The sequence below is a fragment of the Homo sapiens genome, chromosome 4 (genome assembly GCF_000001405.40).
Source record: "Homo sapiens chromosome 4, GRCh38.p14 Primary Assembly".
Classification (NCBI taxonomy): domain Eukaryota; kingdom Metazoa; phylum Chordata; class Mammalia; order Primates; family Hominidae; genus Homo; species Homo sapiens.
In genome coordinates, this window is record NC_000004.12 from 189,821,496 (window position 1) to 189,838,622 (window position 17,127).

Genomic DNA, 17,127 nt, shown 5'->3' on the forward strand with positions numbered 1-17,127 from the left:
CCGCCCTTCTCCTAAATGTTCCATTAAAAGTGAAAAGCTTCATTGCTATATGCAATTGGTTTTGAAATCTCCATGACTGGAAGTCAGAAATGTTAGAAGTTAATACACTGTTCGGGGACCAAGTGGACTTCTGATGTTCAGAGGGGATGTTTTCAAGGTGAATCCAAAGCCTATAAACAAACAAAAAAAAACACTCCATCAGCTATATCAGAAACTTTTTCCATTATCAGAAAACTTATCCGTATAAATTCTTCATTGCTTAAAATGACAGACTGAAAGCAAAGCCACATGTTGCTTGCTTCATTGCCTGTTGTGGCAGCTTTTAAATCCCTGCCTTCCTAGGAAGTGACCTCATAAGAAAATCTTATAAGACTGTCCTGTGGGGAAATCCTCATAACATTTGGGTTAATGCGCTTACACTGCAGGAGAGGTCACCAGGAACATCCAATCATCAGAAAGTCCTACAGGGACGTGATGTTACCTGGGTCATGGAAGGATCTCTCTCAACACACATCTGGGGTGTTTTGTGGCATATTCTATAGCAGGCCATGTGGCTTAATAGTTAAAATATGGGGCTGAAAGTTACGAGGGTTGGGGGATCATATGGCAGCTGAGCTATTGCCTGACACGCTGACCCTACACAACTCATGAGTTCGTGGTACTTCAGTCAGCTTAGCTGTAAAATTGGGCACAAAGGCCAGACTTTACCAAAACCAGATGTTGGACTCCAGCTCTGTTCCTCAACTAATATCTTTTTTTAATGTGGCTGTCAAGTCTCAATTTGTGTGTGTGTATGTGTAGCAATATATATAGAAAGGCAAAGGGAAACTGGAGCTTACTCTCCGAGTAAGACTGGCAGGGATGAGCAAGGTCCAAGAATGCTGGCCCTGACCCATTCCATATCCTAGCCTCTCCCACCTGGCCAGGCTCATGTGTGTCACAGAAGTTGCAGCAGCTTGTGCACATTCAGAGCCTACTGTTTGGAGTAAGTTAATTATAACTAGAGTCATTTTTACGTATCCCTAAGAGAGGCCCTTAATGGGTATGAGTCACGGAAGAGCCACAAATCCCAGCATATAGATTCATACTGACCCTCCTTAGCTCACTACTTTTCTAGGCTGTGGGTCCCTACCACAAAAATAGTTGGTAGACATCAGTTTCCTCCTCTTGAGAACAGTAGAAACTCTTTTAGCTGACTTTCTCTGAGGCCAGCTCCCCCAGTTAGCCAAGCTCCCACTTCCTCTGCAAAGCATGCTGAATAATGCTGCTTCTGGGTCCCAAGCACCCCAGGATACGTGCTCCCCTCTCCCCTCCCAGGTGCTGTTTGGGTACCATGAGTCAGTACCAAGCCCATTTAGGACAGTTGCCATCGTAATTATCTAAAGAACTATTACTGAAACTCGAGTAAGAGTGCACAAAGAAATTTATTGTTTCCTATTCATTAAAAAACCGAAGTGATTATTTTGAAATAGCTCAGAAGGGTGAGTTCCTATTAAAAATAGTTACAAAATTACGTAAAACTCCATAAGGGTTTTGCCTTCAGGACACTCTGCAAGTATCTTTAAATTCTCACTCCATTTGAAAGAAATGGATAATGCATTAGAGTTGTGCTTTCTGGAAGGAAGACAATTAGGATTACAATCAGCCATCCCACCATGACAGAAAAGGCCTTGGCTCCATGTGAAAAGTTAGCAACAATCTATTGTATGTTTCTAATGAGCTGGAAGAGACGACTTGAGATGTTCCTAACACATAGAAATGATAAATATTCAAGGTGGTGGATGCTCTAAATACCCAGACTTGACCATTGCACATTCCATGCATGTAGCAAAATGTCCCAGGTGCCCCATAAATACGTACAAATGTTACATATTAATTTAAAAGATTGGCAAACCAATATATGTGTACACTTTTAAAGTTCAAATAATGGATGTGTATAATAGGTATTTACATGCATAAATATGTATGCCTATATTTATATATATATACATACACACACTAGCACCTACATTTTACGTATCAAGTGACTGTTGATTAATCAACAAATAATCCTAATCTTGTCAATCAAGATAACTTTTGCACTATTTCATTATTTTCCTAATTAGTATTCTCCAATTACTAGTGAAGAAGCAAGTCTGTCGTTTCTGACTTTCTTTCTTTCAAGTGTCTCTGTCATTGGCCCATGCAGATTTCACTTGGGCTGTGAACTGAGGTTTTCAGCCCTCACTGGAGCCAGATGGCAGAAAGATTGTTGGTAGGGCTCTAAGCCAGGCAGAAGGCACCCTGCTCTGAGGCACAGCTTTGTTTAATACAACAGCTCCCCTGTGCCCAACACTCATACTGCCCCAGGAAGTCATGCCAAAGCCCAATCCTGCCAACATTCATGATGCAGAGAAGGAAGCCACAGACTAATCCAACTGGACCAAGCACCCATCTCTCCTTCACTGACTAAAGCAAATCAAGGGCCAACTGTAACATTCAAAACCAGACGGTCGACAATCCTGTCAACTGGAACAGCATATTTTAATAGAAAATATAGTTGATTCCAAAATCCAAGAGCTACCCATCTGTACTCTCAATGAGAAATATAAATAAACAAAAGGATCATGCATTTTATTAATCTTTTTGAAAACTACTGACTCTTGGCTGATGGTGGGTAAGGACTCATATTTTGTCAGTAGTGGCCAAAAAATGACAATATTTTAATAGTAAAAAACTCAGCCTGAGATGTTGTTAGGGAAAGAAAAAGATTGTCTCCCAGTTCTAGTGATCTGTAGGATCCCAGATCTAGTGATCCTATAGGAACGTCTAAGACAGTGAAACATGAAGAGTTAATGGTCACTCTTCATAAGAGGACACACAAGGAAGAAATTCTACAGACAACAGCAAAAAGAAATGCTCTTGTGGGGTGAAACTACACTGTCCATGGACTTTTACCACTGCTTTGTGGAGAATTGTTGTGAAAATATAGAATAAGTAGCTGCAGGAATTCTCTCATCAGACACTATTATGCCACCTCCCAAGTAACATTAGTGTACAGTGCAAAATTTGGAACTAAAGGAAAAAAACACTTATTTGAGAAAACATTGACATTTACAGGTAGTTACATTACATTTAGCAGCTTGTTGTTCCTTTGATCATCTATGAGCTGCCTAAAGCAGTTTGCTGCCGTATGGAAAAATCTAGACCCAGAGAACCAAAGATATTGTAACATGAGCCAGAATGACATTATCACTGAGAACGCAGCAACATGCAATGAGAGGAGTCGGCCTGCCTGAGAAACTCAAGATCTCCTTGGAAATGCCTTCTTTTTCTTTAGACATAGTCACTGACTCTTTCTAGCTTGTCTCAAGGTGAGACTTCATCCCAGGTATTTCCTGTGAAGTAAGATTGTTTCACCAGAACCTGAAACATTTTTCCATCACACATTGCCTCACAGTATGTGACAATAAAATGGACTTCAGTCATGTTATTTACATGGAAGAACTGGGCTTGGCAAATTTGCTATGTTCTGTATGAAACCAAGTATACCTTTTAAACTGCCTAAGAGTTTGATCTATTACAAATATAACAGGACAAACTCTTTTGACCCATGGTTAAACAAGCTCTCCAAGACTGGAATTTAAAAGGACATGGCATAAATTCTGTGGTGAGTTGAGACCTCTAGGTATCAAGTCTCAGCAAAGTCAGGTGTCCTTCTCATTGCCTCCCAGGTGGAGATTCAAGAATGAACATGTTGGCTGGGCACGGTGGCTCATGCCTGTAATCCCAGCACTCTGGGAGGCTGAGATGGGTAGATCACCTGAGGTCAGGAGTTCCAGACCAGCCTGGTCAACATGGTGAAACCCCATCTCTACTAAAAATACAAAAATTCACTGAGTGTGGTGGGGGCAGCACCTGTAATCCCAGCTACCCGGGAGGCTGAGTCAGGAGAATCACTTGAAACCGGGAGGTGGAGGTTGCAGTGAACCAAGATTGTGCCATTGCACTCAAGCCTGGGCAACAAGAGTGAAACTCTGTCTCAAAAAAAAAAAAAAAAAAAAAAAAAGAATGAACATGTTGAGATGACACATTCTAGCATGGACCTCCCATTATGGTAGGTTATTCAATCCAGCTTAGCAACTTATTTTATCCCAGGAACAAGGGACTGAATTCTATGTGGGTCACATTTGTACAGCTAAAACCCCCCGTGATCACTGGATAATAATGCAGCCTTATGTTCTGCACGGTCTAGCTGTATATAGTGGGGACACGTGATCACCTTCTCAGGCTTGGTTTTTTTTCTGTCTAGCCAATGGACTTCAGACTGTCAGAGAGTCTTCACTTTAGACTGACTACAAATCACCTGCAGAGTTTCGTATACATACAGCTGCAGTAGGTCTAGGATGGAGACCAGATCTCCTGTGTTAAAGAATCTTCCAGGCGGTTTGGACACCAACGGGGTGTAAACCACACTGTTGAACCAGAGAGAGACGATGACTTTGAACTCTGAAGGACCATCTCAGTTCTAAAGCATCTAGCACCAGAGTCAGCCCCCAGCAAATTGAGAAACTAGACTTTGGGCTCAGGAAATACCTCCCTGGGTCAAAGTAAACCAAGTTAAGGTGGCAAATTTCCCCCCAAAGTTCTTGTTATTGTCAGCAGCATCAATAGGAATAGGGTATTTGTTCAGCAGCCCTGTTACATTCCCAAAGGCAGATTGCAAAGATCACGTGGCTGTGTCATTTAAATTTCAGAAATACAAGAGACTTGGAGCCATTTATATTAGAGTCAGTTTTGTCAAAACAATTTATGGTACATCTCACACCCTGCATGTTTCATAAAACCCTTTCTATAGAAAGGGAGATTATTGTGGACCAACCTACCACAGCATTGCCTACTACCAGTGACTGCATTTTGTGATATATTAAGTTATCCTGGTTGGAATTCTACTGTTGATTGTCTAGTGCTATATCCAGTAACAAATCACATGTATGTTATAAGACATCCAGACTGATGTGGGCTCAGAAGGCACCTGCATAAAGTTTTTCAAAAGAACAGTCATAAGTTTTACTAGATGTGACAAACCTTATAAAAGTTAAATAATGTCACGCTTTATAAGCATTTCATTTAATACAACTGAACACATGGAGGGCATTGAGGATAATATTTAATTTTTTCCATATGTGGATTTAATACCACATAGAAGTTCTAGTCCCAGATTGCTAATTTTCCACCATGTGGTAGCCATTTAGTTGTATTTTTTAAAATACTTACCAAATTACAGAGTCGAGTTTCAGAGGCAGCAGCTATGAGGAGGTTTAGGGTGCATGGTATCCCTTTGGCTTAGCCCTGGGTCTCATGAGGAGGCAGTAAATCGTGACAGTATTTTCATGGCAGCACTGACTGCTTTTCATAAGAATGAAGGTGAGTTTGCAAAGCCACATGCTAATGCACTTCTAAAAATAGATTTGATGAATGGGACTCCTTCAAATTCTGACCAGTTTTAGCCACCTATTGGAATGCAGACCAGCACGGAAGATTCAGCTTTTTCAGACGTGTCTATGAATTATAAGGCTTTCAAAAAAATTTTTACTCTGGAAAAGTGAGCTGGACCCAGAGTTTTAATTGCTCATTCTTCAAAGTGAGACTTCAGATATGTCATTTAGCCTCTTCTTTGCTTGTGTATATTTATATCTTTAATTGGGACAATAATATTTTCCTTCATTTTCATAGCAAAGAAAAGAACAGTCTTAGATAGTCAGGTTAGAGGAACAGCACCTCCCAATACCAGCTACAGTTTATCTTCTATGACCATAAACAGGGAATTGAATCTTCTAGACAAGAAAGACCAAACGTCTCTCTATTTATTCATTTTCTGTCTTATTCTAAAATAGCTTTGAGTAGCTGAATCAGCTACTCAAAGAATTTGAAGAAATTCTTAGAAAGAGACAAAACCCTATTGGCAGGGTGTTTGGGTCGGCAGGTGAAGGCACATATCATTCATGCCCAGCACCACCATCTAATGTGATCAATGCACAAGAAGGTGCCGTGAAACTTTAACGCTCCATCCAAATGTTAGTAATTATTATTAACCCAGTGAGACTGAGCAGAAACCTGGAACCACTGGTCAGAGCCGACATCTGGATTCGATGGTCAGAAATAAGGACACCACGCTGTATACCTATTTGATGATTCATGTCTGTCTGGCCCAGGATAAGAAATACCCTTTCAAAATCATCAACCCCTGGGCAGACATGTTTTATCTCCCTGAACCAATTACAGTTAATTCTCCCGGGTTCACATAGTTTGGGACCAAGTCTATTTCACACAAAACTGAATACTCCAGACAACGTACCTGGGAAAACTTAAAAATGCATACATGGGACTCTCCACGGAGCCTCGTAACACAGCGTGGGCGATGGGCATAACTGTATGACTTTCGGGTTTGCAAAACTAGCGGGCGCAGCCATCAGAGCCCCAGAGTAGGAGACTGTCCAGTGAGAGAGACTGCCTGCCAGAATTCTGGAGTGATCTCTCGGCCAAAGAGTATTTAATGGAATCAAAAGTCATACACACTTTTACTCAGGCAAAGAAAAAGTGGCATCTCGTTTTCTATGACTAATTGACCCTCTCACCCAGCCTCACGGGGCTGGCTACCAGAGGGAGTTGGAGTGAAACCCTTTCAACTTTCCATTTAATGGTGTCTCATTCTCTTACACTTCAAAAAGTCTCGTAGCAACTGGCTGTGTCTCTTGGGGTAAACATTCTGACTTTCAGGTATCCACAGCAATGGCCCAGGCAACAGGCATATGTGATGTGAGGAAGAGGCTTTGAGTCTGCATGGGTCCTTTGAGTCTTCACTAATTTCTGCTGCAGAGCCACCAGCTGGCCACGTTTCCTGGGACCTGGAAGATTCTGCTAAGGCATGCCTGGTGAGGTTGTCTTTACTTTATTTTCTGGGACAGTGCCTTGTGCGGCTGTGGGCCCTTTCCCCACCACCTCACCCCAGATCTCTTCTGTGGCCATGTCTGTCTCCTGGAGGGCTGTTTGTGGTGTGACCTTTGCAGCAGGGTCACACCCATTTACCACGGTGGCCCCTGCAAGAAAGGCCTCAGCTCCCAGCAGAGCTGGTGACCGGGGACCTCCCCTGTGCCCTCAGGGCCCCAGCAGGCTAACCAGGCTCCCTCTGCCCTGCCATAGCACATTCCCTCTGTGATCACGGCCCCATCCCACCAACGTTCAAAACAGTGCACAGGAGAACAGGCCTCCTGCCACGCGCTGTCCCTCAGCCTCGCCTCCTCTGTGAGATTTCAGCCGGGAGTGGGAGCCACGATGCTCATCCGCTGTCTACCTGCCTCTCTCTACCTTACCTGCTGCATCTACCTGCCTCTCTCTCCCTTACCATGCTGCGATGCCTGGCTGTGTCTACCTGCCTCTCTCTCCCTTACCTGCTGCGATGCCTGGCTGTGTCTACCTGCCTCTCTCTCCCTTACCTGCTGCATCTACCTGCTTCTCTCTCCCTTACCTGCTGCGATGCCTGGCTGTGTCTACCTGCCTTTCTCTCCCTTACCCGGCTGCGATGCTTGTCTGTGTCTACCTGTCTCTCTCTCCCTTACCTGCTGCAATGCCTGGCCATGATGTAAGGGTTCTCCACCTCCTCTGCAGCAGGGAAAGGACTTCCCTAAGATCGGACTCTGGTTCCCTCCATCCTATGACTCACAATACCCCTCTGTGATCCAGGCTGGTCACAGATATGCTAATAAAGTGAAAGAAATTTAGAAAACTCATTTCCACCTCTCTAGCCCCTGGCTTTTCAGCCTGAGGTAGATTCCAAAGCAGGGGCACGTCATGCAGACTCAGGAGGCAGCTGAAAGGTGCTCCTGCAGGCCCAATAGGGGATAATTTGAACACCAAAATAATTAAGGACAGTAACAAATTACAGACCATTTACAAGATCTTGTTAATGAGTCCATGCCAATAATCAATAGGTAAACAAATCAGTGCAGGGAAAAGAAGGATCTCACTAATAGTAGAACGCTAAGCGTCAACTGGGAAACGTGAAGAAGCAACTGTCACTTCGCAGCCACCACGGTAAACTTCAGTTCAGTAACCAACAGAGGCCAAATCTAGGGGGAGATTTTCGTGTGATTTGCATGGTCTCCCAGAGATTAAAGTGATTCAAGTTACCATCAACATTGAAGAACAGATGGACATCCCGTGCCCCTAGAGAAAAACACACATCACTTCTGGCCCAGAATGAGGAGCCTGAATCTAACCACGCAGAGCCGTCGGACAAACACAAACCACGCAGACCCGTCGGACAAACACAAACCACGCAGAGCCGTCGGACAAACACAAACCAGGCAGAGCCGTCGGACAAACACAAACCACGCAGACCCGTCGGACAAACACAAACCATGCAGAGCCGTCGGACAAACACAAACCAGGCAGACCCGTTGGACAAATTCAAAATGAGAAACCGTCTCTCTTTCTGAAACGGACTGTATTCTTCAAAGTGTCCACGTCATAAAAGGCAAAAATAGGCTTCTGAAATGTTCCAGGAGGCTAGAAAAACGCATGACAATCTCTTCCTAGACTGGATCATGTACTGGAGGAAGAAAAAAGGCTGGGAAGGACTTTATGGGGTCAGTTGACAAAAATGGAACGCTGATGGTAGTTGGACAGGATCACTGTAGCAACATTAACTGTTCTAAAGAGATATCCTTATTCTTCAAAAATACACACTGAAGTTTTAGGGCCATGATGAATGCAATTTACTCTGAAATAGTACAGGACAAAAATATCAAGAAAAAATTAAAATATGCATAAAACATACATAAAAATAGAGAGGGCAAAAGTAAAAAGAGAGAGAAAAAAGCAAATAAGAGAGAAAAAGGAAAATAATGCTAAAAGTAGATTAATCTGGGTAATCAGGTGTCCTATGTACTATTCTTATTTTAGTAATTTTTCTTTAAATGTGAAACTATTTCCAAATCAAAGTTGTTGTTGTTGTTTTTAATTTCTGTCTTTCCCTTACATGTGTTGTATAATTTGGTGGTTTTATCGCAACCTGTAATTTCTGAAAATATTAGAGTGGTCTATGAATAAATAAAATAAATTTTATGATGCTTTCAAATAATCTTTAACAAGAAAAAAATACAGGTAAGGAGCAAATTAAACATTTGAAAAATAAACTACAGATTTACATATAAAAGCATGATCACCGATTTGATCAGGAAAAAAGCTAAATAGAACTGTGAAAAATGCAATATTTTTGTCAGTTTAAAATATAAAGGAATATTTTCTTTAGCTAAAATTATGCACAGAGTGAGATTATAAAACATATTTTCACATCATATTTTTTCAAAATTGTGTTTTTAATTCACAGATATTTCTAGACTGTCAAAATAGAACAAAATTTATTTCTATAGAGGATAAAGTTTCTAGCGTAAACACAACACACGATTTTTTTAGGCAGTGGGAATGCTATTGTTTTCTCTGAATTCATAGGCAAGTTATAATAACCTCCTCTTTTCAATTCTATGAAGTTTTAGAGTTTTGTTTCAGGAACTTAAAACTTCTTTTCAGATTTTTGGTGAACCTTTTACTTTCTCTCTTCAGATACCTGGTATCTTTATGTATTTTCAAAAGGGAAGCTGAAGATGTACTGAATTTAATGTTTAAATAAAGAAAATGTCTTACTATTCTAAATCTTGTGTTCTAGCAGGATAAACACTTTAAAGAAATGCAATGGAACTCTTTCAACAGAATTTCCGGGTCCAAAAGGTAGGTGGTGATTATTTTGGGGAGAGGTTTCTTGCAACCTGAAATTATGCCAGGTAAAGCCTACCCCCAATTTCTTAAGGGCTGTCCTGTGGTTATTGCTGTCAGACAGCTGACAAATAAACTGGCTTAAAAGAAAAAACCTAAAATAAAATATGTCAAAAAGCTAAAATATAACATAAACACATAAAATGTAAAACTAACACAAAGCACAAGTTTATAAGTAGCTTTTGGACAAAGCCTGCATTTCTTTGCCACATGAAATAGAACATGAAAGCAGGATAATTCCTGCTTAAACAAAGATCGAGTTTCCTTTAGATCTCTGTGACAAAATCTCACCCACTGTCACTTCCACAAGCAACACCGTTTTCTGCGGAACTGAGGAGATGCCTCCATCTGAGCAACAATGTCTACCTTCTGACCTTCCGCACTTGAACCTCCCTGGCGCCATGTCTCCCTGAGCTGTCAACAGCACAGCACACTCCCAGTCACCCACCAAAAATGCAAAAATCTCTTTTAAAGAAAAATAGGAAGGCACAAGCTCACTGTGAGCTGGTAAACTTTAGATACATAGAATCCTTATCTGGTGACATAACTTGTAACCTGATTTGCTCGAACACCGAGAGCCATGACCAGTCTACAAGGGCCCTTCAGGGAATGAGAAAAGGTTCTCTTTAGAGAGAAGCAATCCTCCAGCACCTTCTCCAATTCTGTGGGTTCTGCTCCATGTGATAGCATCTGAAGCTGTGGTTGTCTGGGGTTCAACTGGGCTGAAATACGCGAAATGCTTCACTCATGTGATTGGCATTGGTGCTGGCCATCAGCTGTGAGCTCATCCAGGGCATCTAAGGGAGCATTTCCATTCGCTTCTACATGGCCTCTCCCTGCGTCTTGGACTTCTTACAGTATGGAGACAGGTTCCCAAGACTGAGGATCTCAAGAGCAAGCATTCCAAGAGAAATGAAGTGGCTGTCACTTAAGGCTTAGGCTTAGGAGCTCCAAATGCCATCTCTGTCACATTCTATCCTAAAGCAGTCACAAGGCCAGCTTGGATTCTAGTGACGGGAAATCTGTTCTGTCTTTTGACAGGATGGGCAGGAAGCATATGCGGAGAGAGGTGGAATGTTGTGGACCGTCTCAGGAGACAAGCTACCACACTGCACAGCTGACATTGGGCAGCCCTGCCCGAGCCCAGCGGCCTTGCTGATACCCATGTCCTCGGATGATCTGTTTTTGGTTTTGCTTTTGTTATTTTTGCTAGGTTCACAGTCAAATCAGGATAAGTCCGAACTGTCCCAAATCACCCGATCCTCAACCTCATTGTTCTGGCAGTCTAAAAAGTAATCATGGTCTGCCTACTCACATTTAAATACACATTTTAAAAATAATTCTTTCCTTAAAGCCGATCTTTAAATCAATCATCCTTCTGCATTTTAGCTGTCTGGATGCCAGTCTTATCTTTCCCCTATGGTCTTCTCATTTCCCAGTCATTATAAATTAGTGTGTCAAAAATTCACGTTGATGTAGCACAACATCATATCCATAATATAATTCATGCCTTCAATGAAAGAGTTTTGCTTCAAAGGTAGACGTCATTAGTAAGTGGTGAAATTTCACATGTGGTTAAAACTTCTTTTTGCCGGTAAAAATAAAACACTCACAAGTAATACTTTAGAGCCATTTTTAACCTCTTATAAAATACAAAAAGTAAGGCAGAAAAGGAGGAAACGATGTTTCCAATCTCTGTTTAATTTATTCCCACTGCGGGCAAATCACTTTTCCTTAGATTTACAAGTTTTCCTATAAATGTGTGACACTGCCTTTGAGTAATTGCTACCTAATAAATAGCTCTAGCTTCCTCCATGTTTTATTACTGAGAGACAAAACCTTCACCAAATAGACTCATTTCTAGTTGGGAGTCATCCTCATGGTGTCTGTGAGGACTTTGCTGGGTGCCAGGTCAGAAATGAATGAGCTTTGGCAGAGACTCTGCAGGTGGCCTAATCTAGTCCGCACGATGCTCCAGGGAAAGACGAAACCCTCTTACAAAGCAACCGTCTGTTCCAGAAAGGGGGACTATCCCCCAGGGTGGCCATGCCAGACACCTAGTGGGCTCGGATGCTCAGAGAGTAATTGGATGTCAACTGCCTGTTTAAGCACCGTCTGCCTCTGACCACCAGATATGACAAGCTGTAATATATTATTCAAAAACTGTAGAGTTAAGAGGGTGATAAGTAGAGAAACAACTACAAAAGGAATATTCTTATAGACAGACCAAGTTCTAAGAAGAGTCACATGGGAAAAAAGACATGGTTGAAGTTAGAAGGTGTCCGTAGAAGTGTAATTAACACAGTCCTGCAATAATTTTTAACATCAGAAGTGGACTATATATGTTGTCATGTTCCTTGTCCTATAGAACGCTCATATACTTCACTCTCTTTAAAGTAAGTCTGAATCTGTGTATTAATTTCATTTTTAAAGCATTTTCATATTTCCATGCAGCCCTGAGAAGACATGAGGACAGGAATTACTACTCCCATTTTACAACGAAGAAAGCTAAAACCAAAAGTCTTCTTAGATTCTGACCTCTAACATTAGCTTCTCCAAATATTCCCTTAAAGGACCAAGTCTAAGCAATTTCACAAGAAAATGAGTTTGCACAGATATTAAATTTGCTTTTTGACTGTTTTATTAAATACTCAAAACAGAATGGAAAAAGACATCTTGAAACAAATTAAAATACGGTCAGCCCTCCCTATGCATGGGTTTCTCATCCTTGGATAGAAACTCACAGACATGGAGGGTCAACTGTACTATTTTCCATCTGGCTTCAACCACCTGCAGATGGGGAGCCTGTGGACACAGAGAGCTGCCTGTATATTTGCCTCATGTGGACACTGGGAACCAGACCTCCTCCCACGTTGAAAGGAAATTATTCCATTTAAGAAGAAAACAGTGTCTTTTAAAATAAATGTAACTATTGAAAAGCACAAGGTGTCATAATTACCAGTAACATCCTTTTATGAGATAAAATGTCTTAACAGGCATCAAGAACGTAGATCAATGTCCAGCTCTCAGTGACTGCAATTATATTCAGTGACAAGATTAAGTGAAGTAACTAATCATTTACTGTATTTAAAATGCTGGCATCACAATTCGGATAATGTATTTTTAAAGGGGGATAATGCACTTTTAAGTTCTAAATTAATATTTGCAAAGAACTTAGAGACCCCTGTGATGTGCAAGTTGGATTTATACAAATGATCTGAAGGACAACGTCCACCCAGCCAAATGAGGGTAACCCTAGGGAAGGAAAGGGGTGCGAGATCGTCCTACGATACAGGGCACCAAACTGATTACTTTTGCTTGATTTTCAGGCAATCTGAATATACCAGCAGGATCCAAACTGCTCTGAAATGTGGTCTCACTGAAACAAATTGGTTTTGCCAGCAAGGTGGAAATGAATTCATCAAGTCTGTGTCACGAGCAGCCACACAGTGTGAAAACAGCCAACACTTCTCCTGTTGACTGACATCACTTCGCGGATTTAACTTCTGTGCTTCCAAGCCCAACCTCTTATATCCTCTCTCCAGGCATTTTACATTTCACTTGCCACTCTCTACTCTCTAAAAGCAGAGAAGCAGCTTTGCGAGAAGTAGTAAAATTATGAGAATAAGCTGGAAGAAATGTTTTGGATAAAGAGCTGGTAACATTTAAGGCAAATTGCTCTGGTATAAATTCAGTCCTGTACTAGCACCATCTCATAGATCACAGAGTAGCCGGTGGGTGAAGTTGATGGGATATTGATTCCAGCAGGAAAATAAAGGGCTATAAAACAAAAGATGATTAACACGAAATCCTTGAGTAAAGCAAAGTCTTAATAGACTGGGAGCTGTTAAATCAAAGAGTGGGTGAGAGGACTGGGCTTTCAGATCACTTACAACTGAATTCTTTTCATTGTGTATTAAAATTCTCCTGTGTGTTTTTACTTTCCTGTATATTATCAATCCATATTCCTCCAGTGAAAAACATCTGAAATTGCATGTGGGGAAAAGGAACCAAATCCGGGACACATCATCAATCAGAAAGAAGGAAACTCACAAAGCAATGGCAATCAGGGCCTTAAAAACCTATAAATACTGTCAGAAAATGAATATTTTTCTATTTCTTTCATTTCATTAAGTCCCACTAATGTTTCTCTACATACCACGTGCACCTCTCTTTTAATAAATTCTGCTGCAATGCACGTTACAGGTTGATTTGTTGCTTAAAATATGCAGTACTCAATGCACAGATGTACTTCTAAAATATTCTTCTAGCAAGTTTCCAGAGCCAAGTAGTTTTTTAGTCAAAATTACTCTACAAAGGAAATGCACCCCTGATTCCCTCCACCCTCTATCAACACACACACACCACCACCACCACATCACCAATACCACAAGCACACACATCACCACCACCACATCACCACTGCACTAGCACACACACCACCATCATCACATCACCACTGCACTAGCACACACACCACCACCACCACATCACCACTGCACTAGTACACACACCACCACCATCACATCACCACTGCACTAGTACACACACCATCACCATCACATCACCACTGCACTAGTACACACACCATCACCACATCACCACTGCACCAGCACACACACCATCACCAACACATCACCACTGCACTAGTACACACACCATCACCACCACATCACCACTGCACTAGTACACACACCATCACCACATCACCACTGCACTAGTACACACACCATCACCACCACATCACCACTGCACCAGTACACACACCATCACCACCACATCACCACTGCACTAGTACACACACCATCACCACCACATCACCACTGCACTAGTACACACACCACCATCACCACATCACCACTGCACTAATACACACACCATCACCACATCACCACTGCACTAGCACACACACCACCATCACCACATCACCACTGCACTAGTACACACACCATCACCATCACATCACCACTGCACTAGTACACACACCATCACCACATCACCACTGCACCAGCACACACACCATCACCAACACATCACCACTGCACTAGTACACACACCATCACCACCACATCACCACTGCACTAGTACACACACCATCACCACATCACCACTGCACTAGTACACACACCATCACCACCACATCACCACTGCACTAGTACACACACCATCACCACATCACCACTGCACTAGTACACACACCATCACCACCACATCACCACTGCACCAGTACACACACCATCACCACCACATCACCACTGCACTAGTACACACACCATCACCACCACATCACCACTGCACTAGTACACACACCACCATCACCACATCACCACTGCACTAATACACACACCATCACCACATCACCACTGCACTAGCACACACACCACCATCACCACATCACCACTGCACTAGTACACACACCACCACCACCACATCACCACTGCACCAGTACACACACCACCACCACATCACCACTGCACTAGCACACACACCATCACCACATCACCACTGCACTAGCACACACACACCATCACCACATCACCACTGCACTAGTACACACACCATCACATCACCACTGCACTAGTACACACACCATCACCACCACATCACCACTGCACTAGCACACACACACCATCACCACATCACCACTGCACTAGTACACACACCATCACATCACCACTGCACTAGTACACACACCATCACCACATCACCACTGCACTAGTACACACACCACCACCACATCACCACTGCACTAGTACACACACCACCATCACCACATCACCACTGCACTAATACACACACCATCACCACATCACCACTGCACTAGCACACACACCACCATCACCACATCACCACTGCACTAGTACACACACCACCACCACCACATCACCACTGCACCAGTACACACACCACCACCACATCACCACTGCACTAGCACACACACCATCACCACCACATCACCACTGCACTAGCACACACACACCATCACCACATCACCACTGCACTAGTACACACACCATCACATCACCACTGCACTAGTACACACACCATCACCACCACATCACCACTGCACTAGCACACACACACCATCACCACATCACCACTGCACTAGTACACACACCATCACATCACCACTGCACTAGTACACACACCATCACCACATCACCACTGCACTAGTACACACACCACCACCACCACATCACCACTGCCGCTAGCACTGCCACTACCTCAATCCCACTAAATATTATTACTCCGGAAGCTCCTTTACCCAGGAAATCAGGCATTCTTCAAGACTTCATGGTTTCATTACACAAGGAAAGAGGCAGCTTTTGTGAAACAGAGTCAGAACTATTAGGGAAGTAACTACAGAGCTTACTGTGTCCAGTCAGCCATGCAGAACTGAGAGTTAAAGGGACAGCATTACGAGTCCATGTGCCTGCGTTCCAGAGCAGAAACGCTCATCACAACTGAAAATTGCAAGTTCCTACTGATGGAAGGACTTTTTTCCATAAGACCTCAAAGGCCCTGCAGTACCCTCAGATAAAAATTAAACATTTGGAAATATTAAAACTAGGTTTGCATTGAGTCTTACCTTGGGGGAGCTTCAGCGGAACTATTGATAAAGACAAAATAATTCTTGCAATGACTCTAATCGTTACCATTCTACACAAAATATCAATGACCGAAAACACCGTTTGACATGGGCAAGATTGTATGAAAAGACTAATTATACAAAGCAAGTCGATTCAACTATTTACTTTCCCAATGTTTCTCTTCTACCCATTTCACGGGAGTTTTCCCTTGACCTCTGTGGAATATCATGAAACGCCAAATCCAAGTTTCGTTCTTTGGACATACACCTCTCTAATTTAATGCAGGGCTGCCCGACACAGCAAATAAAATCATAGACACCTCATTAAATTCTAATTTCAAAAAACAATGAAAAATACTTTAGTGTAAGTATGTCCCATGCAGTATTTAGTAAATACTTACAACTTTTAAAATTATGTGTTGTTTACCTGAAAATCAATTTATCTGATGTTTTGGGTTTTACCTGGTAACTTTAATTTTACTCTCTGATGATTTACATTGTATTTTAGAACTTGCTCCATCATTAAAGAAAATAAAACAGCTGTCAGGGATAGAACAGCTGGAGAAATCACAATTTGTGAATGAGAAAAAGTACATGAAGGCCCTTTACAGCCTTATATGTGTAATACCAGTAATTCCCAATGGGTCATGGCAAAAAAGAGGGAGGGGAGAATTAGAATCATTGAGGAACGTTTACCTGAGACTAAAACCACTGCATTGTACAAA

The 17,127-nt window shown here is 42.2% G+C and overlaps 1 long non-coding RNA gene across 1 annotated transcript in view, besides 2 other annotated features; it reads right to left on the reverse strand.

The window, feature by feature from the left end:
• The window catches only part of FRG1-DT (FRG1 divergent transcript), a 176,343-nt gene that overhangs the window by 57,105 nt on the left and 102,111 nt on the right, over positions 1 to 17,127 (reverse strand). The gene's annotated exons all lie outside the window — the stretch shown is intronic.
• Positions 6,673 to 7,172: an enhancer, noted in NCBI's record as "H3K4me1 hESC enhancer chr4:190749322-190749822 (GRCh37/hg19 assembly coordinates)". NCBI's record gives its function as "activates a minimal SCP1, AML or CMV promoter by ChIP-STARR-seq in primed H9 embryonic stem cells {active_cell/tissue: H9 hESC(primed)}" and the evidence as "EXISTENCE:reporter gene assay evidence [ECO:0000049][PMID:30033119]".
• Positions 7,173 to 7,673: an enhancer, noted in NCBI's record as "H3K4me1 hESC enhancer chr4:190749823-190750323 (GRCh37/hg19 assembly coordinates)". NCBI's record gives its function as "activates a minimal SCP1, AML or CMV promoter by ChIP-STARR-seq in primed H9 embryonic stem cells {active_cell/tissue: H9 hESC(primed)}" and the evidence as "EXISTENCE:reporter gene assay evidence [ECO:0000049][PMID:30033119]".